Source organism: Homo sapiens, chromosome 3 (genome assembly GCF_000001405.40).
Source record: "Homo sapiens chromosome 3, GRCh38.p14 Primary Assembly".
NCBI classification, from domain to species: Eukaryota; Metazoa; Chordata; class Mammalia; order Primates; family Hominidae; genus Homo; species Homo sapiens.
The window spans coordinates 192,699,313-192,726,656 of NC_000003.12; the positions used below are offsets into that span (position 1 = coordinate 192,699,313).

The 27,344-nt window shown below is 37.3% G+C and overlaps 1 protein-coding gene across 3 annotated transcripts in view, besides 1 other annotated feature; it reads right to left on the minus strand.

The window, feature by feature from the left end:
• FGF12 (fibroblast growth factor 12) overlaps positions 1-27,344 on the minus strand; it is a 588,152-nt gene that overhangs the window by 559,923 nt on the left and 885 nt on the right. The window lies entirely within an intron of this gene.
• Positions 1,446-2,110: an enhancer, noted in NCBI's record as "NANOG hESC enhancer chr3:192418547-192419211 (GRCh37/hg19 assembly coordinates)". NCBI's record gives its function as "activates a minimal SCP1, AML or CMV promoter by ChIP-STARR-seq in naive and primed H9 embryonic stem cells {active_cell/tissue: H9 hESC(naive and primed)}" and the evidence as "EXISTENCE:reporter gene assay evidence [ECO:0000049][PMID:30033119]".

A 27,344-nucleotide genomic window follows, 5' to 3' on the forward strand; every position in this document is an offset into this window, starting at 1 on the left:
CTACTCTTCCCTTTCCTACACGATTTCAAGTCATAGAAAAGGAATGAGTCAGTGGTAATCATGGCTCTCAAAAAGCTATACTTGAAACATCAGCACCACTGCTAGGTGTGAAAAATTCCAAGTAATAACTATTCGGTCATGGTGGGGTGCAATATATCCACGCCTACACGCTTATTTCTATTTTATAAAAGAAGAGCACAATGATCTAGGACACGTTACAAATATTGCATAATTTCTAAATGCAAATCAATCAAAATCAACACATCTGTTCCTCTTCAGCCACACTAGCAGAAAGTCACCACTCTAACAAAATAAGCCATCACCTGCAGTACTTGGAAAGAGGTGCATTTCTCAATTTATCCTGAGCTTGACCTCCCATTCCAATTAATTTTGTGTAGTCAACTCTAATGAAATATTAGATCACTCAGTAAGTATTCAGAAGTAGTGCAGAGACATGCAAAAGCCCTGATGTAAGGCTTGATGCAAGATCTTGATGTAAGTTCTCTCTCCAGCACTCTCTGAGCTTCTAGTTCCTCATCTTTAGGAGGAAGGCCTGAGAGACAATGTCCCATGCTGGAGTAAGTTATTTCATCATACCTAATCATTTCATTGTATCCTTCTCTTAAGAGATATTAACAGATGAAAACTGCAATTACCCTTGCTGAATCCCTGAGATGCTCCCATCACCTCTAACACAAGATAGAACCCAAATCTCTCCTTTCTAAGTGGAAAGAAAAACTACAGTACTTCTTACAAAATCACTTCAGATGCCTGAGGGTGGTAATTAGCACGTTTCCAGAGCTCTCTCTTTTTCAGGTTAAGCAACGTCAGTTCTCTTAACCTGCCATTAAAGTGCTCATTTTATATACATACTCTGTCTATTTTTATGAGCTTCTTCTAAACTGCAGTCCAAAAATGGACACAATGCTTTAACAATATCCAAGTAATATAACATATAAACAAAGATCACATTCATAAAACCAGAAAATTGGGCTTTTCTTAGAAAAAATTAAATTGTAGCCACAGTTATTGAAATTTAAGGCTCACTATATTTAATGTGTTCATATAAAGTAAAATTAGAATTTTACTTAGCAATAAAACAAATCCAAATAAAGTCCTGTCACATCATAATAAAAAGATACATTTCATTTTTAAAGATTTGTCACTGAAACTGAGGCAAGGATGGAAGCAATAACTCTGACCACCATATCTCCTTGTTTTATGTTTAACTACTTAACATGTTTGAGCAGATACATTATTAAAGGCATTTGAGGCCACAAAAGAGTCAAACTTCCTTGAAATGTTAGTACTGTACAATATGAAAACCAGAAATAAAATTCTAAGGCCTCCAACAACTTATAGAACCCTTCTTGGCTAAAAGCATTCCAAATAAACCTGGAACTCTAGTTTAGGCCATGATGGGAAGAGGGGGGTCGGACATGCCTCATTATACATTGCTCCTTTGGAATTCAGGCACAACTGACCAGCATTAACATTCAAACAGAGATCTTAAGATTGACAAAATAGACTCTTTGTAGCAATAAAATTCCAACATGACTGGTAGCAGGCCCTGAAAGAAATTGAAGTATGTTACTCCAAAATATATTTTTTTGACATATTTTGAAATGGCCCTGTAAAGCTGTCTCTTGTAAGGAAATCTACATTATGTAGAGAATCCTCTTCCCTTTTCTGATCTTTTCCCTAGTCCAGGAGATAATTCACTAAGAGGAGTCTGGCACCTTTTTAAGTCTGATAAAAGCTCAGATGCCTGGTACCTGGAGGTTTCATTTGCATGATAAAACCCCTTGGTTTCCACAACCCTTTATCTTAACCCAGACACTCCTTGCTATTGATTCCAGGTGTTCAGATAATAACTGTTTCAAGCAATTGTCAATCAGAAAATCTTTGAATCTACCTATGACCTGGGAGCCCTGCCCCTTTGAGTTGTCCTGTCTTTCCAGATGGAACCAACATACATCTTACAGGTATTGACTGATGACATGTCTCCCTAAAACGTATAAAACCAAGCCGTAGCCCGACCACTCTGGGCACATGTTCTTGGTATCTCCTCTGGCTATGTCATGGGTTATGGTCCTCATATTTGGCTCAGAATAAATTTAATCAAATATTTTACACAGTGAAACTCTTTTCATCAACAAGCAGTAGTAACTTTAAACACCACATTAATTATTTTTCAAAGAATTCATGTAAAAATATTGTGCTGACAGAAAAACAGCAACCAAGAGAATTTTAGGCACCTCCCATATCAAATGAAGTTCTACTTGCTGCGATCTTTACTCTGACTGTGGTATAGCGGCAAGAAAACTGGTCTCAGAGACCATAATTATAGTCCTGATTTTGTGATTGAGCAAGACACATCTTTTATGAAAATAATTTTATTTTATGAAAAAAGGCATATTATATTCATTATCTGTAAAGTTAGATTATTTTTTAAATTATATATTTAAAGTATACAACATGATGTTTTCATATATAGTGAAATGATTACTACAGTCAAGCCAATTACCATTTCCATCATCTCAGATAGCATTTTTTTGTAAGAGCACCTAAAATCTGCTCTTAGCAAATTCCCAGTATATAATACAATACAATGTTATTAACAATAGCCCTCATTCTGTACATTAGATCTTCAAACTTATTCATCCTACATAACTGAAACTTTTTACCCTCCCTCCCTTAGCACCTCCCACCACAACTCTAATAACCTGGTAACCACCATTCTACTGTCTATTTCTATGTATTCGACTTTTTAAAAAATATTCCACGTATAAGTGAGATCATGCATACTTTCCTTTCTGTGTCTGGCTTATTTCCCTTAATGGGATGATCTCCAAGTTCATCCATGTTGTCACAAATGTCAGGCTCTCCTTTCTTAAAGGCTGAATTGTAGTTTATTATATATATACCACAGTTTCTTCATCCATTTACCTTTCTATGGACACTTAGGTTGTTTCCATATCTTGGCTATTGTGGATAATTCTAAAGTTAGGTAATGGAACTAAGGTTTCTCCTAGCTTTGTGATCACAAACAAATGTGCTATAAGTGTTAGAGAAATTCACCTTGAAAATATACATAGAACTAAATACCTACATTATGTAAGTTGAAAACTTTCTTATAGCCTTCTTATTTAAAAAGAGAATGACTAATAGGGTAATATTCATGCCCAAATGTAAAAAGGCCAGGCACAGTGGATCACGCCTGTAATCCCAGCATTTTGGGAGAATGAGGGAGGTAGATTGCTTGAGTCCAGGAGTTTAAGATCAGCCTGGGCAACATGGCGAAACCCTAGCTTTGCAAAAATACAAAAATTAGCCAGGTATGGTGGCATGCACCTGTGGTCCTAGCTACTCGGGAGGCTGAGGTGGCAGGATCACTAGAACCCGGGAGGAGGAGATTGCAGTGAGCTGAGACTGCACCACTGCACTCCAGCCTGAGCAAGGGAAACAGGGCAAGACTCTGTTAAAAAATAAAAATTTAAATTTAAAAAAAACTAGTCTAAGTCATTTTAGGCAAAACTTTCAGAAATTTTAAAGAGTTGATTACATATAACTATCCACCTTAATTATTTAAATAACAATATATGTTATTAGTATTTTCTCTACATTGCTCAGGCTTTGAGAGTTGCAGGAGATTCCAAACTGATTACCAAAAGATGGTATTTCGTTCTATACCTGACAAAGTCTGTTTAATATTTAAATAAAACGGTACATAAGAAACACTTATAATCTATAAAGCATTTTAAATATGCTGTTTTTATATTCCCTCTATCTTTTCAGCAAAGTTAATCCCTTATCCTATAATTTTGGAATTGTGTTTTATCTTCCTTATACAGGCATACCTTACAGATATAGTGGGTTGGGTTCCGGACAACCACAATAAAGTGAATATTGCAATAAAGCAAGTGACACAAATTTTTTGGCTACTAGTGCATAGAAAAGTTATATTTACATGATACTACAGTCTATTAAGTGTATAAGAGCATTATGTCTAAAAAATAATGTACACACCTTAATTTGAAAACACATCATTGCTAAAAAATTGCTAACAATCATCTGAGCCTTCAGCAATTCGTAATCTTTTTGCTGGTGAAGAATCTGGCCTTGATGCTCATGGCTGCTGATTGATCATGATGGTAGTTGCTGAAGATTGGGATGGCTTTAGCAGTTCCTCAAAATGAGACAACACTCAAGTTTGTCACATCGATTGACTCTCCCTTTCACAAAAGTTTTTTATAGAATATGATACTGTTTGATAGCATTTTACCCACAGTAGAACTTCTTTCAAAACTGGAGTAAATCCTCTCAAACCCTGTGATATGGTTTGGTTCTGTGTCCCCACCCAAATCTCATCAGTAATTTTAATCCCCATAATCTTCACATGTCAAGGGAGAAACCTAGTGGGAGGTGATTGGATTGTAGGGACAGTTTTTCCTCCATGCTGTTCTCATTATAGTGAGAGAGTTCTCAGGAGATCTGATGGTTTTATAAGTGTTTGACAGTTCCTCCTACAGGATTGCATGACTGTGCCCAGCTAATTTTTAAAAATTTTTTTGTAGAGACAAGGTCTCACTGTGTTGCCCAGGCTGGTCTCAAACTCCTGGACTGAAGCAATCCTCTTGTCTTTGCCTCCCAAAGCACTGGGATTATAGACATAAGCCAAAGTCTTGAAACCTTCAAAGTTATTCATGAGGATTGAAATCAACTCCTTCCAAACTACTGTTAATGTTGATACTTTGGCCTACTCTTACGAATCATAAATATTCTTAATATCATCTCAAATGATGACTCCTTTCCAGAAGATGTTCAATTTACTTTGCCCAGATCCATCAGAGGAATCATTATCTACAGCAAGTAAGCCTTATGAAATATATTTCTTAAATAAAAAGACTTGAAAGTCATAATTACTCTTTGATCCATAGCTATTTGATCCATAGCTATAGGATGGCTGTTGATCATTCATGGATCATAACTGTTTGATCCATGGCTGCAGAATGGCTGTTGTGTTAGCAGGCATAAAAACAACATTAATCTCCTTGTATTTCTCCATGAGAAGTCTTGGATGACCAGGTGCATTGTAAATGTGCAGTAATATTTTAAAAGAAATCTTTCTTTTTCTGGGCAGTAAGTCTCAATAGTGGGCTTAAAATATTCAGTAAGCCATCCTTTAAACAAATGGCCTTTCATCAAGGATTTGTTGTTCCATTTATAGAACACAGGCAGAGTATATTTAACATAATTCTCAAGGGCCCTACTATTTTCAGAATGGTGCATGAGCATTGGCTTCCATTTAAAGTCACCAGCTGCATTAGCCCCTAACAAAAAAGTGAGCCTGTCCTTTGAAGCTTTGAAGCCAGACATTGACTTCTTTCTCACTATGAAAGTTGTAGTTGGTATTTTCTTCAATAGAAGACTATGAAGTCTCCATTGAAAATCTGCTGTTTAGTGTAGCCACCTTTGTCAATTATCTCAGCTAGATATTTTTGTATAACTTGCTGCAGCTTCTACATTAGCACTTGCAGCTTTTCCTTGTGCACTATGTTACAAAGATGGCTTCTTTCCTTAAACCTCATGAACCACCCTCTGCTAGTTTCTAACTTTTATTGTGCAGCTTCCTCATCTCTCTCAGCCTTCACAGAATTGAAGAGAGAGCCTTGCTCTGTATTAGGCTTTGGCTTAAGGAAATGTTGTGACTGATTTGATCTTCTATCCAGATCACTACAACTTTCTCATCAGCAATAAGGCTGTTTCATTTCCTTATCCTTCCTGTGTTCACTGGAGTAGCACTTTCAATTTCTTTCAATAATTTTTCCTTTACATACACCACTTGGCTAACTGTTTAGGGCAAGTGGCCCAGCTTTCAGCGTATTTCAGCCTTCAATATGCCTTCCTCACTAAGTTTAATCATTACTAGCTTTTGATTTTAAGTGAGAGACATGTGACTCTTCCTTTCACTTGAACATTTAAGGGCCATTTTAGGGTGACTAATTGGCTTAATTTTAATATCTTCGTGTCTCAGGAAATAGGCCTGAGAAGAGGGAGAAAGATGGGGAACAGACAGTCAGTCAGAACACACACAAGAATTAACAGGTGAAATTCTGTTTGAGAAGTCAATTATGTCTACAACACTGGAAACAGATTTTGGTGTGATATATTCTCTAGTAACTTTAAATTTGTTTCTCTTCCTTCAGCAGTCAGAACACATACAACATTTATGGATTAAGTTGTTGTCTTATGTGGGCATGGCTTGTGGCACTCCCAAAACAATTACAATAATAGCATCAAATATTACAGATCACCATGAAAGTTATAATAATAGAATAACTTAAAAGACTGTAAGAATTACCAAAATGTGACACAAAGACCTGAAGTGAGCACGTGCTTTAGAAAAATGGTGCCAATAGACTTGCTCAACTCTCGGTTTCCACAGAGCTTCAATATGCGACGCATGCAACATCTGCAAAGTACAATGACACGAGGCATCCCTGTATAATTTTTAAGCCATGTTGCTTTCTACACTAGATCAACCATGTCTTATAATAGGAATTATCTTAACTACAGTGATTAACATAGTGCCTGATTCTTTACAATTATTCATTTTTTGGTTAAATGAAGGAAAACAAACAAATTTAAAGTAACTAGAGAATATATCACAACAGAATGTGCTTTAGGTGCTGTAGACACAATTGGTTTCTCATACAGAATTTCATCTGTTAATCCTTAGCCTCCCTTTAAATACACACATTCCTTCCAAATACAATACAAAAATGTAGTGAATAGGAGACTTCATTAGTTCCTTTTCAGTGGTTAAAAGATGAAGTTTTGGCATTTTCTTTAAAATAATTCATTGAAATTATATATTCAAAATATGTATATTATTTGGGCCCACTATTGGTAAGACTTATGATTTAATAATCTAAACTCAATGATATCCTTAAATAAATAATAATCTCATAATTTAAACTCTAATAATCACATGCTTTTATAAACTGGAAAAAAGTCTCTGGATCATCTTTTCTTTCGCCCACCTCATATTACCAATGACGTAACAGAAGCACATGAGGCAAAGCGACTTTGCCAAGGTCACGTTAAGTCACCGACTGACCGCCGAACAGCACCCGGATGAATTCCAGATCACCCGGCTCCCCGCCCAGTGCCACTTCCTTCCTTTCTGTCCTCTCCAATTTACTCATCTAGAACTAACTGACCAAGCAGAAACAATTGGGAGTAGTCAGGCCTCTATTAATAACAACTTGCTTGTCATATAGTACAATATCGTTTACAAAGCACTTCCCAAATACTTTCTCTCCTTGAATCCCCGCCGCAAGAACCCCAGATGCAAGATATTTACCTCCGCTTACAACACACTAAGGCCTAGAAAGATAAAATGAAATGTCCAAGGTCACAGAGCTAAACTTGAACCCTGACCTTTTTACAACATATCTAGTTTTCTATACATAAATCCACAGCAATTTTTGTTACAGAGATAGAATCAAAGAAAAAGAATTATTCACTATAATCCCATTAAGCCAAGATTCTAAGGCGACTTCACCAATAGATTTGTGAAGTGTTTATTAATATAGAAGATGATTTCAAAAGAATGTTAATACTAACCAGATGAATAACCCATGCAAAAGTAACAGATGAATTGTTGAGGAAAAGGACAAGACAGTCACAGAAATGAATGTCCAGAAAATGGATTCACACATCAAGGACAAGAAAGGCCTTCATTACCCATTTATTTCAGTTTCCGCTTTTGAGTTGAGGAAACTGAAACATCTCTAACCTCAGGCCTCAAGAAGCAGAAATCCCAGGTTATCTTCAACAACAAAGGTTGTAATAGTTGTAGCTCCAGAAATGCCACCCTTTGAACTGATGCAGAAGTCTCTTTTTTGGGACTCACAAAAGGTCCTGAGAAGTGCAATCTCAGTCACTAATGCCAGGGGTGTAACTAATGACAAGGCTGTACTTAGAATGCAAGGAGGTGTTCAGAGCTGGCTTCATGGGAGCTGACCGAGAATGGCACATCCAGTCTTTGTCAAGAAGGAAGAGAACCAGAAGACAGGTCACAACACAGATACACAAATAATAATAAAGAATCATGCTGTTCCCCATTGTTCAAGAATGAGAACAATAGCTGGGTGCGGTGGCTCACGCCTGTAATCCCAGCACTTTGGGAGGCTGAGGCAAATGAATCACGAGGTCAGGAGATCGAGACCATCCTGGCCAACATGGTGAAACCCCGTCTCTACTAAAAACACAAAAATTAGCTGGGTGTGGTGGCAGGTGCCTGTAATCCCAGCTACTCTGGAGGCTGAGGCAGGAGAATCGCTTGAACTTGGGAGGTGGAGATTGCAATAAGCCAAGATTGTGCCACTGCACACTAGCCTGACAACAAAGCGAGACTCCTTCTCAAAAAAAAAAAAAAAAAAGAATGAGAACAACAGAGAATGTTTTCTTTTCTTTTTCTTTCTCATTTTTAGAAACAGCACAGGAATTTCTTCCACCAAGGTGCAGGAGAAAGTTTTTATGCCGAGCCAGATTTCCCAGGGATGAGGATTGATGATTCTCTTCCATGGACAACAGGAAGTTCAGTCATATGGAATAGCATCCATTATTATTATTATTTATTTATTTATTTATTTTTGAGACGGAGTCTCGCTCTGTCACCCAGGCTGGAGTGCTGTGGCGCGATCTCGGCTCACTGCAAGCTCCGCCTCCTGGGTTCACTCCATTCTTCTGCCTCAGCCTCCCAAGTAGCTGGGACTACAGGCGCCTGCCACCACACCCGGCCAATTTTTTGTATTTTTAGTAGAGACGGGATTTCACCGTGTTAGCCAGGTTGGTCTCGATCTCCTGACCTCGTGATCCACCCACCTCGGCCTCCCAAAGTGCTGGGATTACAGGTGTGAACTGCCTTGTCCAGCCAATAGGATCCGTTATTTAGAGGGCTCTAACAGCCTAGGGTGAGAGATGAAAGGCGTTTCAAAAGTGAAAGAAGGAAATCTTGAAGCATGTGTGTTACATGTACATCATCCCTGAGACTTTAGCTACTTTATGCCTCAGATATAATGAAAAGTGCTATAAAAATTAAATAAACAAAGATTTTATGTTAATATATTGAGGGCTTTATAGTACTCACTCAATTTACCTTCTATTGTATACTTAACATGTGCCAAGTCACTGAAATTACAAAGCAGAATGACATAGTCCCTATAGAATTAACTCAATTTACCTTCTATTATATGCTTAACATGTGCCAAGCCACTGAAATTACAAAGAAGAAGACAGCCCTTGCCTTCATGAAATTCACAGCCTAGAAAACAAGCTAGGACCCAAGGAACTATAGTATAGCACAGAAAGAAATCAACACTACAGGAGAGATTTGAAGGACCAGGGAAAGAAGGACTTCTTACCAGAAGAGGATCAAGCAAAAGCTTTATTGAGAAAATTACAATCTAAGCATTTGTGGAAATAAAAAGTTAATATACTTTGGGAAGATATTATAATATCACTTGCAAGATGTATTGTGCTTTGAATGAGTAATGTAATTATTGTTAATATTATATTACTGATAAAGAACTGACAATTGAACAATATATTTTTATAGTTCTTAGCTTTCCCATAATATACCATTTGCTAATCATTAATTAAGTCATGAAACCATACATTTAACAGAATACATTACATTCTTAAGTGTTCACTGAAGACAACATTGTCTGCCTCTCCAAAATGTTTAAATTATATGTTTATACATCTGTTGTGTACTTTCAAGGCAATGTAAACACAGAAATGTCTCAAAAATATATTGCAAAATGACACACCGAAGCTTCATCCAGACAACTATCCCCTGAATTTGCTGGCTGATTTGAAGTTCAATCAATACTAACCTGTACAAATAAGAAGAGCCCTGTTCTTCTAGCTTAAGAATGGTAGCCCTGCTTTCAAAAGAAGCAATGAAAACTCCAAGCCATTCTCTCTTTATGGCATTACATGAACGAGTTTGGAGTCCTGTATCTGTATCCAAAGTACAGCTCCTTCATTTAAGTTACTGTTTTGAAAGAACTTCTTAGAGGTCTTTAAAATCAGTATGTCCAGATCTCTGAGACTCAGAGCTACTGATTAAAATTTCAGTCATATCAAAAAATAATTGGGCTTTTGGGTGGGGGCTCAATATAATTTAGTGGAAAGTATATTACTATGAGACTCAAGAAACCTAAGTTTCAGTCTTGACTTCACCAGGATTGAGCCAGGTTTTCCCAGATAAAATGAAGAAGCTGAAAATCACTTTCAAATTCTCTTCTGACCAAGTTAAGACTCTATTATGGTGCTGGGAAATTATTAAGTTTTCCAGTTATAAATTGGCCAGGGGATTGTTCTGGAAAATTATTGCTTGAATAGTGAGAGTTAAGACACATTTCCAATCATGAGTTTTGAAGACCGACTTAATCACTTCCACCCCCTAGAGCCTCCAGCACTTGTTAATATCTTTATGATGGCATTTACCATATTGCATCTTGAACACTGGTGTCTGTCTTCCGTGATAGCATGGAAGGTTCATGAGGTCAGTCTCTTATTCATTATCCTGTTTTGCCAACTCATGGCAATATGCATGGCTCAGGCTATGTGTCCAATGTATGCTTGAAAAGTGGAAGAACAGACAAATGAGAATGTCAAAGGTAACTTTAAAAACCTGTCTGGAGATGACCTTGGTAATTTTCTTAAGCCAGTAACTTTTTAAAGCTATTTGCATGGTGTTTTCTCAAGGGAAGAATACCTTAATGACCCTTACGTCTGACAGCCTACAGTATATTGGATAAACTGAGGGAGCTGGCCAGGGCACTGCTGAGAACTCCCCAAAATGCTACATCAAGCACTTCTGAGTTGAGAGTATCTTTCCATGGGGTTATTTAGTATTTTTGGATGTAAGTATTTAGTATTTAATATTATTTAGTATTTTGTATTTTATCCTTTCAAGTAAGGATAAAATATTGAACACTGGCTTTTACTTTCATTCCTACTTGAAACATAATTAAAAGTACAATAAATGGATGCAGGTGTGTTTATATGTTTTGCATAATTCTTTAAAGATGGAACAAAAGAGAGAGAAGAAAACAACAACAACAAAATTTTAGAACTGGAAAACCAGCTGGTGAAGATATATTTTTCAGATCTGAGAAAGCTGAGGTCCTAAGTCAGCAGTGGAGAAAGCCAACAGGCAACTAACTTGGATTGCACAATCTTCAAAAGTTTAGACAGTGGTAGCACCAGATTTGTCTAGAAGTGAGCTGAAGGAGAAAAGGGTAAATTATGCAAAAATGGTGGAAAGGTTGTTTTTAGGACGGTATTATAACCTCAAATCCTCTCCCAAACATCAAGCATCTAGCCAACTGCTCTCCACAATCCCAGGAGAAGACTAGATATTTATTCTTTGTAGTGGATAGAGCAGAAACTCTCTGCATAGTGGACAGAGTGAATACCACACTGAAAATCAGGAGATTAAGTGAACATTTCTACGGATTTCCAAAACCCACAGGACCCTCACAGCCAGGTCTTTCCCATTCAGGCAAGAGAATGGAAGAGTCTTCTTTGAGGAATCTTGGAAACGTAAGAGGTAAGACCTAAAGATACGGACCTCAGGAGCTCCACAGTGAAAAGCCCACCAACATCACTCTACAACTAAGATCATTGACAACAAGCCCCACCCATGAACACAGAGCTTCCAGTCACCTTTTTAGCCCCCTACACCCACTTTTAAATATGAACAGGTAACCAAATATAAAAATATCTTCGGGAAATCTCTAACATGAAAGATAGAAATGAAAACAAACAAAAAGCTTACTGGAAACAGAGGTTATAGAGGGAGATTAAAACTTCTTTAAAAATGTAAATCCCGTCCGGGAGGGAGGTGGGGGCCAGCCCCTGCCCGGCCAGCCGCCCCGTCCGGGAGGGAGGTGGGGGGCAGCCCCCACCCAGCCAGCCGCCCCATCCGGGAGGTGGGGGGCATCTCCGCCCAGCCGCCGTCCCGTCCGGGAGGTGGGGGGCGCCTCTGCCCGGCCGCCCCTTCTGGGAAGTGAGGAGCCCCTCTGCCCGGCCGCCACCCCGTCTGGGAGGTGTACCCAACAGCTCATTGAGAACGGGCCATGATGAAGATGGCGGTTTTGTCGAATAGAAAAGGGGGAAATGTGGGGAAAAGATAGAGAAATCAGATTGTTGCTGTGTCTGTGTAGAAAGAAGTAGACATAGGAGACTCCATTTTGTTCTGTACTAAGAAAAATTCTTCTGCCTTGGGATGCTGTTGATCTATGACCTTACCCCCCAACCCGGTGCTCTCTGAAACATGTACCGTGTCCACTCAGGGTTAAATGGATTAAGGGCTGTGCAAGATGTGCTTTGTTAAACAGATGCTTGAAGGCAGCATGCTCCTTAAGAGTCATCACCACTCCCTAATCTCAAGTACCCAGGGACACAAACACTGCGGAAGTTCCCAGGGTCCTCTGCCTAGGAAAACCAGAGACCTTTGTTCACTTGTTTATCTGCTGACCTTCCCTCCACTATTGTCCTATGACCCTGCCAAATCCCCCTCTGCGAGAAACACCCAAGAACGATCAAAAAAAAAAAAAAAAAAAAAATGTAAATCATAATTATTCTCAGCAAAGTATTAGAAAATATCGCATCTGTGAAATAAGACGGCATAATATAAAACTGAACAATTAAAGAAAACAGACAAATAAGCCTCTTGGAAATTAAAAATCTGATACCAGAAATTAAAGAAAACATCTAAGAAAAAGATTAAAAGATAAACTTGAGCCCATAATCTAGAAAATAGAGAAAAGACAAAAGAGGTAGAGAACAGGAAATAAAACATATGAAAAATAGAAACCTATGAAAAATAATCCAAAATATAAACAAGTAAGATTTCCAGAATACCAGAACAAAACAACAATAACAAAAAAAAGAGAGTAGGAGATCATTAAGAAAATATTTTCAAAAACTAAATTATTTTCAATTTTCTAGAGATTAAAGAATTAAAGAAAAAAATTCTAGAATTAAAGAAGAGTTTCCACAGTAAATACACAGCATAATGAGTGAAAATGAAACTATAAGAAGGCAAATTACTATCAATTTTCAAAACACTGAGAAAAAAGAATAGACACTAAAAGTTTTCAGAGAAAAAAAAATCAAGCATGTACAAAAAATAAGAAATCAGAATGTTAGAATGATATCAGACCAGAACAACAAAACTGGCAGAAAAAAAGATGTTGTAATGGTGTAATTTAAGTTCTGAAGAAAACTTATTTTAAATCTAGAATTCTATACCTAACCACACGATTGTTCAAATATGAGGAAAAATGAAGATATTTTCCGATATGAAAAGGCTCAGAAATTTTACTGTGTATCCTTTTTTTTTTAGGAAGCTGTTGGAGAATGTATTCCACCAAAATAAGAGAGTGAACTAATACAGAGGATGCAGGAGAACAAGAGATCCAAGCAGAGACCTGCAAAAATTTTCTAGGGTGATGGAAAAAGAGACCCTGGGACCAAAGCAATGCACAGAAAAAGGGTGCACATAGCACCCAGTCATCAGGTTCTGAGGGATATTACTTCACGATGAAATTGATAGAATATCTGTGCATCTGAGTGTCTTCAGATGAGATTCAGATAACTGGCAGGGACTTGGAGTTAAATATAGTACAAAGTATGTAGAAAGCTGGGCACGTAAAAACAAGACAGTTATCAACCACAGAAAAAAAACAAAATCTTATGACAAAAGTAATCATAGTTTAATTTGTCTTAGTCATGAAAGTATTTACATAATCATAATCATGCAACTACTAAATACTGATCTAACAAAAATAACAATGTAACAGCCTTGGAAAGATGGTGAGATGGAAAGGAGGCATGTTGTGGTAAGAATGTGATAAAGGGAGAGACTTGAAAGCTATTTCCTTGGTGGGACGCTGAGAAATTAAGAGGTAGTAAGAAGAGAATATTGTTTAGCATATGAAGGTAAATATCAACAAGAGTCGAAAGTGATTGTAGAGGAAAAAATGGGAGAGAGGACAAGAAAGTACTATATTTCACAATATACTTTGTATAACTGTGACAAAAATAGCAAGTAAAAACAGAAAAAGAAAGAAGAAATCACCTCAAATGTTATGCATGAGAGATTGTTTTTATACTGCTTTTGCTCTAAAAGCATTTCTGATGGAATTGAGTATCACAGGAGATTGCAGTGTGTTCCCCAACATCCTCCCATCTTTACTAAGACACGATTCACTGGGGTCAGTTGAGATTAAAAGAGGTTGCTCAGAGACAAGACAAGGCTGTCGTTGCCATCTGTCTAACTGCACCTTATGGTTATTAGATGAAAATCATCTGCTGACCTTCATCTTCAAAATCTTGTTCATAAATCTTTTACCAATCAAGCTGAGACCTTCCCTGTACAAGGTGCTTTCTAGACTTCAACCATTGATCACGATGATGCAGTTTGGTATGATGTGTCTTCCTGGAGCAGTTTTAAGTGTTTGATTCAAAAGTGAAATCTTTGTGGAGCTGCCATACTTTACAGCACTACACTGAGCTACAACTAAAGGCACACATTGCAAGTGTGGTGCTTGAATTTCATTTAAACAATTAAGCAAACTCGAATCCATCAGACTCAGCAAAACCCCATGGCGATGATTTCGTACCAGAGCAGTTCTGAGATACTTAAAATAATAATATCTACATTTTATTGAATGCTTATTATATGCCAGGTAGTGTGGTAAATACTTACACTATCTTATTTAGTAGTAAAAACAACTCTATAAATAGCTACTATTATTATCTCCATTATATAGATAAGGAAATCCAGGATTATGGAGATTAGGACCCTTGCCCAATGTCTTTGGCTAGGAATTAGGAAAACAAAAATCAAGACCAGAATTGGATTCAGAAACTGTTCTTTTAGAACTCTGTCTTCGCTAAGGAAGGGTCATCATAATATCAAAAATATGCCATTGAAAGTGATGGGTGAGTTTGGAGACAAACATATTTCTGAAGTGAGTCTTCATATATTTAAGCATAGATGAGTTTGAGAAAATTCATATAGCACAGTTGCAAAATGCACGTATATTAGTACTTGCATAGTTTTTAGTCTGTTATAATTCTGAGTCTTATTTATAGATCTTAAGGAAATAATTTTTTTTTTTTTTTTTTTTTTTGAGACGGAATCTCGCTCTGTCGCCCAGGCTGGAGTGCAGCGGCGCAATCTCGGCTCACTGCAAGCTCCGCCTCCCGGGTTCACGCCATTCTCCTGCCTCAGCCTCCCGAGTAGCTGGGACTACAGGCGCCCGCCACTACGTCCGGCTAATTTTTTGTATTTTTAGTAGAGACGGGGTTTCATCGTTTTAGCCGGGATGGTCTCGATCTCCTGACCTCGTGATCCGCCCGCCTCGGCCTCCCAAAGTGCTGGGATTACAGGCGTGAGCCACCGCGCCCGGCCAAGGAAATAATTTTTAAGCCTGACACTTTTCGAAAGGTTATTTTCAAAAGGAACTTTACCCTAGAATACTAGTCTATAAGTTTCAACGCTAGAATTTTAGAGAGTTGAGAGCCAAAAGTGAACAGAAATGAAACTCATTGTTCCATTAAGCAAGAGAAGTGTGTTAGCAGCAGAGACTGGCAAAAATCAGAGTGAAATACTGGGTCACTGCATTTCTTCTGGCCCTGACAGTGTTCTTGTACGTATATCTTGCTTTGCACAGTAGATGTGTTCTTGAAAAGCTAGTGAATAATTAAAGCTTTGTAAGTAGAATTGTATTCTAGAAGACCTAGGAATCTAATTTTTTAAAGATGATTACAGTAGTCAATGTTTTTGAAATGTAAATGAAATCATCACCTACATTACATAATTTGTAACAGGCTTCCACAATTTGCTTCCAACCTTTCTTCCTTATATGATTCATCATCTACTGTGTCCTGTCCCAACCCTTACATGGTTCATGAGGAAAGAGTGTCAGTACTATATTCAGCACCTAAAACAGTGTCCAGCACAATAAATGGACACTGGATGAATGAACTAAGCAATCCATTAATCTTCTCCTGGCTACTACATGTATATCAATGTCTCTCTACCTTTGCATATAATATTTCATCAGCCTAGAATGATTTTCCAATGTTTTCATTTTATCCCTTCTGCAAGAGTGAGTTCAAATGCCAACTCCTTCCTAGATGTCAAATTCCTCTCTATATTCCCAAAAGATTACATTTAGATATTTAGTGTAATAGGGGATAATTGAAACCTTGTCTTAGTCCTTGGTTCCTAGCCTCTAATGCCTAGCCAGAGCAATCCACACAGACAATGTGATGGTAAAAGTAAATTTAATCTAAATTTTCACATGTATTGCCAGCTGTCAGTTCTTCCTAGGTTTCTCTTTATGCATATCTTCAAAAGCTAATTTGTGAGGTGTTCTTGAGGTCAGTAACTGCATGGTTTTTCATGTCTAGCCCCAGTAACAAGCAATGTGCATGGCACAGATAAATGGATACGTCCAAGCATGGATCCTTGTATTAATTAATTAACCAGTGTGGTTGTGGATAATGCTGGGCTAATTGTCTATACGTGATATCACTGACTCTTTTAAGCTATGGAATTCCCTCATGAGAATGCTATCCCTGATCCCTTATTCTGATATTTCTGAATAACCAGCAAAATACACATCTATTTCTAGATTGAATTCCCAAGTGCAAGAGAATCTTAGACTAGATTGTCTACACCAGGTTTTCTCAAAGATCTAGACTAGCAGCATCAACACCTTCTGGGAACTTGTAGAAAAGTAAACTCAAAAGCCCGGGCTAACCCTGGGTTCACTGAATCAGAAACCCTAGGGGTGGGGCCCAGTGATCTGTGTTTTTGTACACACTTAAGTTGGAAAACTGGTCAGAAAGTTGTCCTTACGATTCTGACATAAACAATGCAATGTTTCCTGGACCCAGCCAACAACGTCAACATCCCTGTTAAAATAGTCAGGTTCTTTCTTCTGAAGAAATTAGACTTCATTGTAAGCCAGATAATGGGAAAAAAATAGTAAAACTATGATTTAAAAAATCAGTATAGGAATCAATTGATGTCACTGCCACTCAGTTTTTATTGCATAATTTAAAACGAGTATATCTTAACTACATTGTTTTAAACTGCATACCACAGCTGCATGGCATTCTCTGGTTCCAAACAGATAAAAATGAGCAAAATAAAACTAGGTAAGATGAAGAGGAATCTTAGGGATTTTAAGGAAAGAATCCAGCCCCATACAGAAGCAGAGGAAGTAGTAAGCCTAAGGGTCAAATGCTAACAACAAGAATAACAACAGTAGCAGCTGTAATTATTAAGTACTAATTTTAAGCTTGGTTCTTTATATATATTTTCCTCGTTTGTCTCATTAACCTAGAAAGAGCGTCATTGTACAAATTAGGAAGCAAGGATACAGAAATATATCTTACCCAAGTTACAGAGACTAAAAAGTTGTTAGTTGTGTGTTTGATTTCAAGTCTTACGATCTTTCTACCACACCACTGAGCTGCCCAGGTAAACAGAACAGTTATTCAATGTGAGGGTTAGAAAAAGAAGCTGCAACCCAATGCTTAATTAAGCCCCTAGGGGTGGAAGCCAACTTAAGGCACATAAGAGCAGTGGGTTCTTTCTTGAACCCACCTGATAACAGGCAGGAAGGCCCAGTGATTCCTCAAGTCTGTATCTTATTGGCCCAGGGCTTGAGTGAGACTAAGCCTGCAGAGATTGGGTATTCTGAAGGTTAATAAAATCTGTACATACACAGTGGGACTAGTTTTTCAGTAACAAAGGAAGGTTGATTGGCTTATAAGACTATACTAAAGTATGCCTTGGGTGTTAAGTAGTGGTTAAGCTCATAGACTCTGAAGCCAGTCTGCAACTTACTAGCTGTGTGACCTGGGCAAATTACTTAACATCTCTATGCTTGACTTTTCTCATCCCTGAAATAGGGATGACAATAGTGCCTGCCTCATTGGGTTTTTATGAGGCTTAAGTGAGTCAATATATGTAAAGTACAGTGCCTAAACATAGTAAAAGCTGCAAAAGCATTATTTCAAAAGACTCAGTTATCTTTCCAAATGTCCTTTCAATGTTTGACATGAATAAAGCATGAAAGCATGAAGAATAAAGAGCTTTTTTAAGTTTAGCTGGATCTGTTTAAGTTTATAACTGAACCCAACACCTATTACAGTTTTTTTCCCCATAAAGCATAGAAAGAAAATCTGCTTTATGGGAAAAAAACTGTAATAAAATATGTGAAAAAGGATAAAACTCCACTTATAATTCAATCGTCATTATCCAAATATTGTCACTTTTTGCATAATACAATCTACTATTTGCCAATGACCAAATTTTACATTATAATTAGTGCATATATCCACATGTACTATTTTTATAATTACCATTATGTCATAAACACTTCTGATTATAACCCATGTTCATAAACATGTTAATGGCTGTTAGATATTTCCCTTTCTTTTATTCTTCGCATAATCAAGAAATTCAGTTTATTAACCATGAAACCCTTAGACCTTGGATAGCTTTCATCTGGTGGTAGAAAATGCTTCTTCTATCTAAAATGATCAGTAGCCAATCAAACATTGGAAGACATAGTTATTGGTTTTTAAATTGTTTGAAGGCAATGAAGGATTGAGTGCAATTGTTTTTTAGTAATATATTACTAATGATTGAGAACTAAAGAAAATCAGACTTCCTATCAATAATGTCAGTAAAACACTCAGCCCTTGGACTGTTTGTCATTATTCTGTTAGTCTTTCTTTTTTTTTTTTTTTTTTTTTTTTAGCAAGAAGGTGCTGGTTAGGGCTGGCAGAGAGAAGAAAACCATATCCACCAAATCAACTTCACATATGACTGTTGTATAAATAAACTCATCTTAATTGTAAAGAGGACACATATGAGGGTGAAGAAAAGACGTTATAAAAACATAATGTACAATCTGCTAAGCAAAAATGCCATCAAGTTCGCCAAAAGAGATAGGAGAGAACAAGCAGCTGATCATAAATCTTTAAACAGAATGTATCCACTGTAGTTCCTATATAAACACTTCACAAATGCTGGTTCTTTCAATCCCAGAAGTGAAAAGAATCTTGCCTCTAATCCACTCTTGTTTTGCAGATGAAGAACAAGGCCATAGAAAGAAAGCCACGAGCTCAAACTGAAGATGGGGCGGGAATTAGGATTCAAATCCAGGTCTCCGGATCCCCAAGACAGCGTCTTTTCCACAAGGCCACTGCAGCCATCCATCAATTTAGACATGAACCTGTTACCTATGTGGTCACAATCATGCCATATACAAACTTTAGCCAAGTAGCACTTTTTTCCTCTTAGTGCTTTCTCACTCAGAATCAAATTAATTCCTCAATAAAGTTATAAATCCAACAACTTCAGTTGCACAATTCACAGCATTAAAAAGCTAGCTCAAACCCACACTGAGTCCTTAAAATTTGATGTGGTAATTATGATCACCCTGTTTATTTTCTGTAGAAGTTAAGCCTAAAGAGGATCAAGAAAGAATACAAACAAGCTTAAAATAACAATTTCTTTGTAACAAGAAAATAAAAATCAATAATGGGCAAACCGAGTTAAAAAAAAAAAAGAGAGAGAGGTTTAGTACACTGAGGTTCATCCATGGAATAGAAGAACGAGAACCTGATCCCAGATCTTCTAGCATTTAATAGATTAGATTAGAATAATCTAAGTAGTCTGTTAGATTAATACATTAGAATATTAGTTATATTTCATTGGAACATGCACCATGTGTATTTTATGCCTCAGTGTATCACCAGAGTATACAATGTCATAATTCCACCAGTGTGCATACTACAGTTAGAAAAGCTCAGCCTTAGAACAGCTAACAAACAGCAGGTTCTAAGGAAATACTGCTTATTGAATCAATCAACCAATGGTCTCATTTTAAAAGACTGGCACTGATTGGTCTGTGCTATTGCTTTAGTTGTCTCCTTCATGTTTACGTTATTGTTATTGAGGGTCTTGCTATATTTGCATAATCGTTTGTTTTTTATGCTGATGCAAATCAAAGCCCATAGTAAAAAAGTACTCATTTCATCTCATGTTAAGTTATTTGTAGGCTTGAAAATAAAGAGTGATTTACATGAAAACCTTTATCTTGATACATAGCAAATATTTCTCTTTTAAATCCCAGAAGAAAGAAGTAAACCAAATTCAATTTTAAATAGTGCTAGAAATGTTGAACATGTTTTGAAATGAAGGAAAAGCCTTTAGATAAAATGTGTAAATAGTCTAATTTTAAATTTTCCAGATTTAAACAATTAGAATGATCATATAATAAATCTTATATAATAGTCTTGTTTGTAGAGTATCTAACCCCAATTTATTATAATATGTGAAAGAGACTAAGGGCAAAAAAAAAAAAAAAAAAGAAAAACAAGAAAAACAACCCAACACATTTTGAAGCAGGAAGCATATCTAGATTTTTCAGTTCCCAAGTATCTGAAAAGAAATTTCCCAAATTACCTGTGTTGAGGTTTGTTCAATCTGTTAGAGTGCTATCAGTACTGGAGGATTCGAGGAAAACCTGTTTCACGTGGGTGATAATTGTAGAAGTGAATGAGGTAGGGAGAGATTGGCATTGCTGCCTCTTCCTGCCTGCTTGGTAAAGGACTCTTTGGTGCATTTAGTTATCTTCTGAACAGCCTCTGAAAGTTTCTGGATTCTTTTTCTGCAGTCTAGTCCCTTTGGGTTGCTTCTCAGGCTAATGGCCAATCCACAAACAAGAAAGAAACAAAAACCTAACCACAGAATGGCAGCATGCCTTTACTTCTATCACGTAGTTTAAAGTCCCACTTTCAATTATGTGTGCTTTTTCAATCATTAGTAATGGGGCTTGTTTCAGGTAAAAAGCCAGGCAGAGTATGCGCTAAAGAAAAAAGAAAAGATCTGTGAAGGGGCAACAGGTGTCCTTTGGGACTTCTGCCTAGGTGCCATCAGCAGCATCGCAGCAGTTAAATACCACGGCCTCCCTGGGTGGGAGTCTCACATTCCCAAAGACAAGGAGACAGAGACTATTTCAAAAAGTAACTGGAGAGATGAGAAAGCTAAAATTAGAACTATTGACATAGATCCTTAAAAAATCCTACCGTGCTCTGCATGCAAGGATGCTAATAAGGAGATGAGGAAGATGATGCTGGGGAAAATGGCATGTCATCTTAGCCTCAAACTCTTGCCATCTATTTTGCATATCTATTTTCAATCCCAAGTCTGTAGTACAGAAATGAAATCTCTCTTCTACACACACTCTCTTAACACTAAAGAGGGTGGTAATAAAAGACAAGGCCCAGGCAGTAGAAGTCCTATAGTGCTCCTGATAAAGAACACATGTATGTGTTATAGTTTCCTAGTAACCATCTTGGAGCTTATCGATGGATTCATAATTGAGGACATACATCATCACCTGAGTGTTTCTTAAATATCTGACTTGCAGGTATTACAGGATGTCTGGTGGTTCTGAGATGTACCCCGATTAAGACCATTGTTAGTGGCCAGAATTTACACAGTTTATGTTTTAAACCCATCCAAGGTGTAATACTTGACTCAATATATCTCCATCCCCAAACCCATAAGATGTAGAGACAAATTCAGGTGTTGGAGACGTTACTATTAAAACTGTAGAATAAGCACACAAGAAATCCCTTTTGGTAAAGTGAAGTTTTTGTGGGAGTTAATGAAGGGTGATTTATTGAGTGTCGTGCAGTATACTTGCTGCTAAAACTACAAAAATGGCAGAGGACCAATTTCTACCATCCAGGATCTCACAGTCTAGTGTAAAGAGAGATACAGCTAAAAATGATGAAAGTCAGATTATAATTCTAAAGAGTTCTAAATACTTTATTAGCATGAGTTTTATTTCATAATCATGATATTATGGTACAGCACTTGGGATGGGTATAAGAATTTTTATTTTGCAGAGAAACAGAGGTAAGATGAGTTGCCTAAGTCATTTAGTCTTTATGATCCTTTGTTTTGTTATCTATAAAATAAAGTTAAAATGCCAAATCACAGGGTTTTAAGGGAGATTGTATATATTAAAAGCCTTTTGAAAAAGTACAAAGTGTTTCACGAACGTTATTTATGGGTGTAAATATGTGACAAATCAGGAAACCCAATATTAAGAGATGCAATAAACCATTATTGGTCAATCAGTAGCACAAAACACCAAACCTAATAAGGTTGGTACTTCAAAAACTTAAAAGCACAAAAGAAAAAGGATAAGGGAATGGCAAGTAGGTTGGCCTCCCCCAGACCTATTACTGAGGGTAACAAGCCTCATAATAACCTAAAGCAAGAAACAGGTTAGGCAGGTAGCTAGTCAGGTGGAATAGCTTTTATAGTAGATACATAGCTTGAGTTCAAATGTTCTCCCACACAATAATTTTGTTTAAATAAACCAAAGGGGAAACAAAAGGCAGGAATTATTGCTGTGGAATGTTAAGTGCCTCTTTGGAGCTCATTAATCACTGTAAGACTTTATATTCTAGCCTCCCGGATAACCTACTAGAACTCTGAAAGATGAATGGAGAAGACACATAAAATGCTAGAAATCAACAGCTCTTGATCCTGTTCATATATCCCTACATTGTAAGCTTTTAGAGGGCAAGTCAATAAACTATTTATACCTCTGTCCCCCACATTTAATAATGTGCCTGGAACAATGTGGCAACTCGGTATTTTAAATTAAATGAACTGGACCCCCTTTGATATTTAAGAATCTTGAGACCCAAAGAGGAAAAGATTTGTCCAAATTTACACCATGACAGGTGGAGTAAGAAACTGTATTTCCTACACTCAGTGACTATACATCATGATTTTACTGAATTATGTTTTACTTATCTCACTATACTGGCTCAGTCTTTTATTATTGTTGTTGTTATTGTTTAACCACAAAATGGCTCTTCTTAAAATCGCTTTCCAGTTCTGATATACTAATGATTGCATAGACATTTCCTTTCTCTGCTGCAGAGTAAATCATCCTGGCTTCAGAGAAATGACTGTTCTATACCTTAAGTGTGTTGGTTCATGGCCCTGACTGAACTCTGATGGCTGGTATGAAATCTAGAACAAAGAATTGAATCTTCCTTGGAAATACATGTGCAGGTCTCTCTTGAGAGAGTGGGTCAAATTACTCCCTTCCATGTTCTGGAATCACACTGATGTTTCTGGGAGCCCTCCTGGTAGCTAAGTTTCCCACACTTCTCCCAACTTACAATCTTCTGGATCCATGAAGTTGGCCTAAAAAAACTAATTAAGGCTATCCAACGCATATAATTCGAATCCCTACTATGCAAACTTAAATATTCTACCTGAGATAGACACTTAGGTGGTTGCTGGAATGTTAAAGGCTCAGATTTTGCCCACGAGAAGGTTAATATATTAGTGAAGATAGAAGAGTGAAATTGTCAAGTTCAGAGATTGCATCTTAGTTTTCTTTCACATTCTCAGAAATAAGCACATTGGGTACATATCAGATGCTCAATAAATATTTGTTTAAATAAAAAGCACAAAAATTACAATGTTGACTGTAAGAAACGCAGTATGTGAGGGACAAACGAGTACTTAGGTCATAGGAATCTCAAAAGGGTTGAACAGAGAGGTATGACAATAGAAAAGGATAAAACTATATTCACTCTGTTTAGAAGTGCCTTGATTTAAGTAGTCAAATATCATCACATTACCATGAGTTAACAGCAGACTTTGTCAGGAGCTTAAAATGAATGTAGAGAATAAATATTTAGGGTAATTGGGGGTTGAAAGTAAGTGATTGGAGGATGAGCAGCAAGGGTATTTAAAAGTAAGTTTGTTTTCTGATCTAACTATGAGTTAGATCACGCAGTTTCTTTTTCATTTCATTTTTGTTGTATCCAAAAACAACCAGAAGACCTAGAACATGATCACATATCCATGAGCCTTCATAATGATTAGACAGATAATATCAAATCTTCTCTACTGAGGTGCCTGGAGTGGTGTCATTCATTCTCAGGTGCAATCAGTTCCCTGAGATCTACACCAGTGCTTCTTAAATGTTAAAGTGCATAGAAATGACCATTAGATTTTGTTGAAATCCAGATTTGATTTGGTAGATGTGGTGTAGGGACTGAGATTCTGCATTTCTAACAAGCTCCCAGGTGATGCAAATGCTGCTGGTCTGTGGACCACCAGCAGTAATGCCCTACATCAGTGGTTAACTCTGGCCATCCATTAGCATCACTTGGGAGCCATTTAAAACTACTTATGCCCAGATCCCACCCCAGAACTAATTAAACTCACATTATTAGGGGTATGGCCTAAGCATCTTTACATTTGAAAAGCTCTACAGGTGTTTCTATAGGTAGTATGCCAGCTTGAGGCTGGAAATCTACCTAGACAAAGAAAAATGTGATATAGGTGGGGGTCAGTGGGAGGTGAGAGTGTGTGTGTGTGTGTGAGAGAGAGAGAGAGAGGAGAGGAGAGGAGAGGAGAGGAAAGGGGAGGGGAGAATAGGGGAGAAAGGAGGGAAGAGGAAAGGAGGGGAGGGGAGGAGAGGAAGGAGGGGAGGGGAGGAGAGGAAGGGAGGGAGGGGGAAGGAAGAAAGGGAGGAAGGGAAAAGGGAGGGAGAAAGGGAGGAAGGGAAAGGGAGGGAAGAGGGAAAGAAGGAAGGAAGAAAGGAAGGAAGGAAGAAAGGAAGGAAGGAAAGAAGGAAGGAAGGAAGGAGGAAAGGAAGGAAAAAGCCTGTTTCCTCACTCCAAATCATGCTTCTCAAACATTAATGTGCATACAAATTGCCTAGGTACTTTGTCAAAATTCTAATTCTGACTCAATAGACCTGGAGTAAATATGGAGATTCTGCAGTTCTAAAAAATTTGTCTGCAAACCACATTTTGACTATCAAGAGTCTAAATCAGTGGTTTCCAAACACTGCTGTACATAGGGACCTCTAAAGGAAACATATATGCTTTTTTCTTCCACCCCAATATTCTAATTTCATTGGTATGCGGTGCCATCTCAGGATGAGTATGTTCAGAAAGTATGTCAGGTGATTCTAGTGTGCAGCAAACTTTGTGAACCACTCCTCTAAATACTAAACATTTTAACTCATTTAAGAATCTCAAGCCCTTAAGATACGCAAGGCACAAATTCCGTCAGAGCTGCTCGGACTGCGTACCAACCCAAATCTTTGAGACAATGTTAAGTACATGGTGCACAAAAATCGCTGAAATTAGATCATGAATTGAACCTCAGGTCAACTGATGTATTTTCCTCTCTTCTTTACCCTGTATGACAGGGAGTGATGCAAAGTTGTAAATAAGGAAGCAAAAATAAATTGATCTTATTTGTAAATAGCTGAAGTTCAACTTTCTGGATGCTGGACAAATGCTCTAAGAAAGGCTGTCAAATGCTAGAGGTAATGTGAAAGTTGTCAAGTGTTGGCGATGGGATTCAAGATTAAACAGGCCATTAGATCTGGGTATGGGATAGAGAACTCTTGAACCCTCAACTGAGTCACGCAATATGACTCTATCTTTAAAGAGTTTCTACTAGAAAAGTATTATATATACATACATTTGAGAATGTCTTCCTAGAATTAGATTTGAATCTGTTGGGGGAAGAAGTTTGTACACGGCAGCATAAAATGTGAAAGATGCACCAATTACAGTATTGCACAAATACACATTTCTCTTAATACACTCTTTTTGGCTGGAATAAAAATTTCAAGTTAGCTACCATCGTTAGCTGTGCCATTTGCACCAACTTAGAAAGTGAGGCCAATGTATAAGTAATTAGCCATTTTTAATCTGATTGCCAAGCAGCTAACACAGCTTCATTAAGAAAGTCCAGGAACTAACATGCATAAAGACTTTCATCATGTTTTTTTTTTTTTTCAGAGGCAATTATGGGACCTCTGCAAAATGACCACAATGTTGGCCTACAGCAAAAGTCTTCGTTGCCTTTGGATCAGTGCTGTGATTCACTATATCATTGCTGTCTGGATTGACATAGAACTTCTGAACTGATTCTTTTCGGATGTATTTCTGAGATTCTTTCTCCTTTCTGAATTCAAAAGACTGAAAGAACAGCTAGAACTCTACTGTTAGCAATATGATCATTAAACCACCTGGAATGCTAAGTGACACGTAGCATGTTTTATGGGCAACGAAGGAAAATAAAAGATTACTGCCGAGAGATATAGCCTCTTTTTATGATTGAACAGGAATTAGTATACACATTGGAGGCAAAACTGTTACCAAGAACCTTTGTCAAATAACTAAATTTAGTGACCAAATACCAGGTGTCATCTAAGCAAGAAAAACTGTTTCATAGTAAAATGATATTCTTTTTCTGTTGTTAACCTTATGTCCCAGAAATACTTAGTCAGCTAGAATATTACAAACCTTTATATGTTAAGGACTGCCTTTTTATTTTAAAATGGAGTATAATAGAGTTAATAATATATGCCTCAAATATACTTATAGACATGGATTCTCTCATATGTGTACATCATTGTCAGACGTGGAGATGCCCATCAATGTATCATAAGAATAATCTGCCTGAACTGAAAATTGCCTGCTAGTCTTAATCCATGTTGATTCAGCTCTTTTTATACTATAAATGCTTGCCTAGGTTCAAATACTTTAAATCTACCAATTAAATACTTAAAACACTTTATTGAACATAGAACTGCTATCATTCAACACTCCAGTTTCATTAATCAGCCCAGAAATAGGTAACTCACCACCATTCCCTGATCCTAAGTACATTACCACAGTGACTGACATTCCTGGTTTAAAAATAAAATCTTGTTTCAAATATAGCTTCCCGAGTTCTGGGTAATGAATATAGTTTCATAAAAGTTGACATCATTTCTTCTGATTTCGCCAGAATTAAATACATCCAGTATGCCTCCTGGATATCTGACCACCATATCACTCAAGGCTCTCACAACCTGGTGGGCGTTTTAAGGAGAAGGAGAAACAGACCTGCATAGATGGGGTTAAATCCAAAAGATATCTAATCTTGTGGTTAGAATAGTCGTTGTGTTTATGTGTGTTCAATATGCCATTCAGAAGTTGATTTTTACAGTTCATTTATCAGTTGGCATGCATACATTATGCAGATTTGCTTATGAGGAGAACATTAATATGTACATGTCCAGAACTAGTAAATGCATTATGCTTGGAAGCCAAGCAGTACTCCCATACACTGTTCTTCTTAGAGGTCAGTTCTAACGCATGCTGTTCCA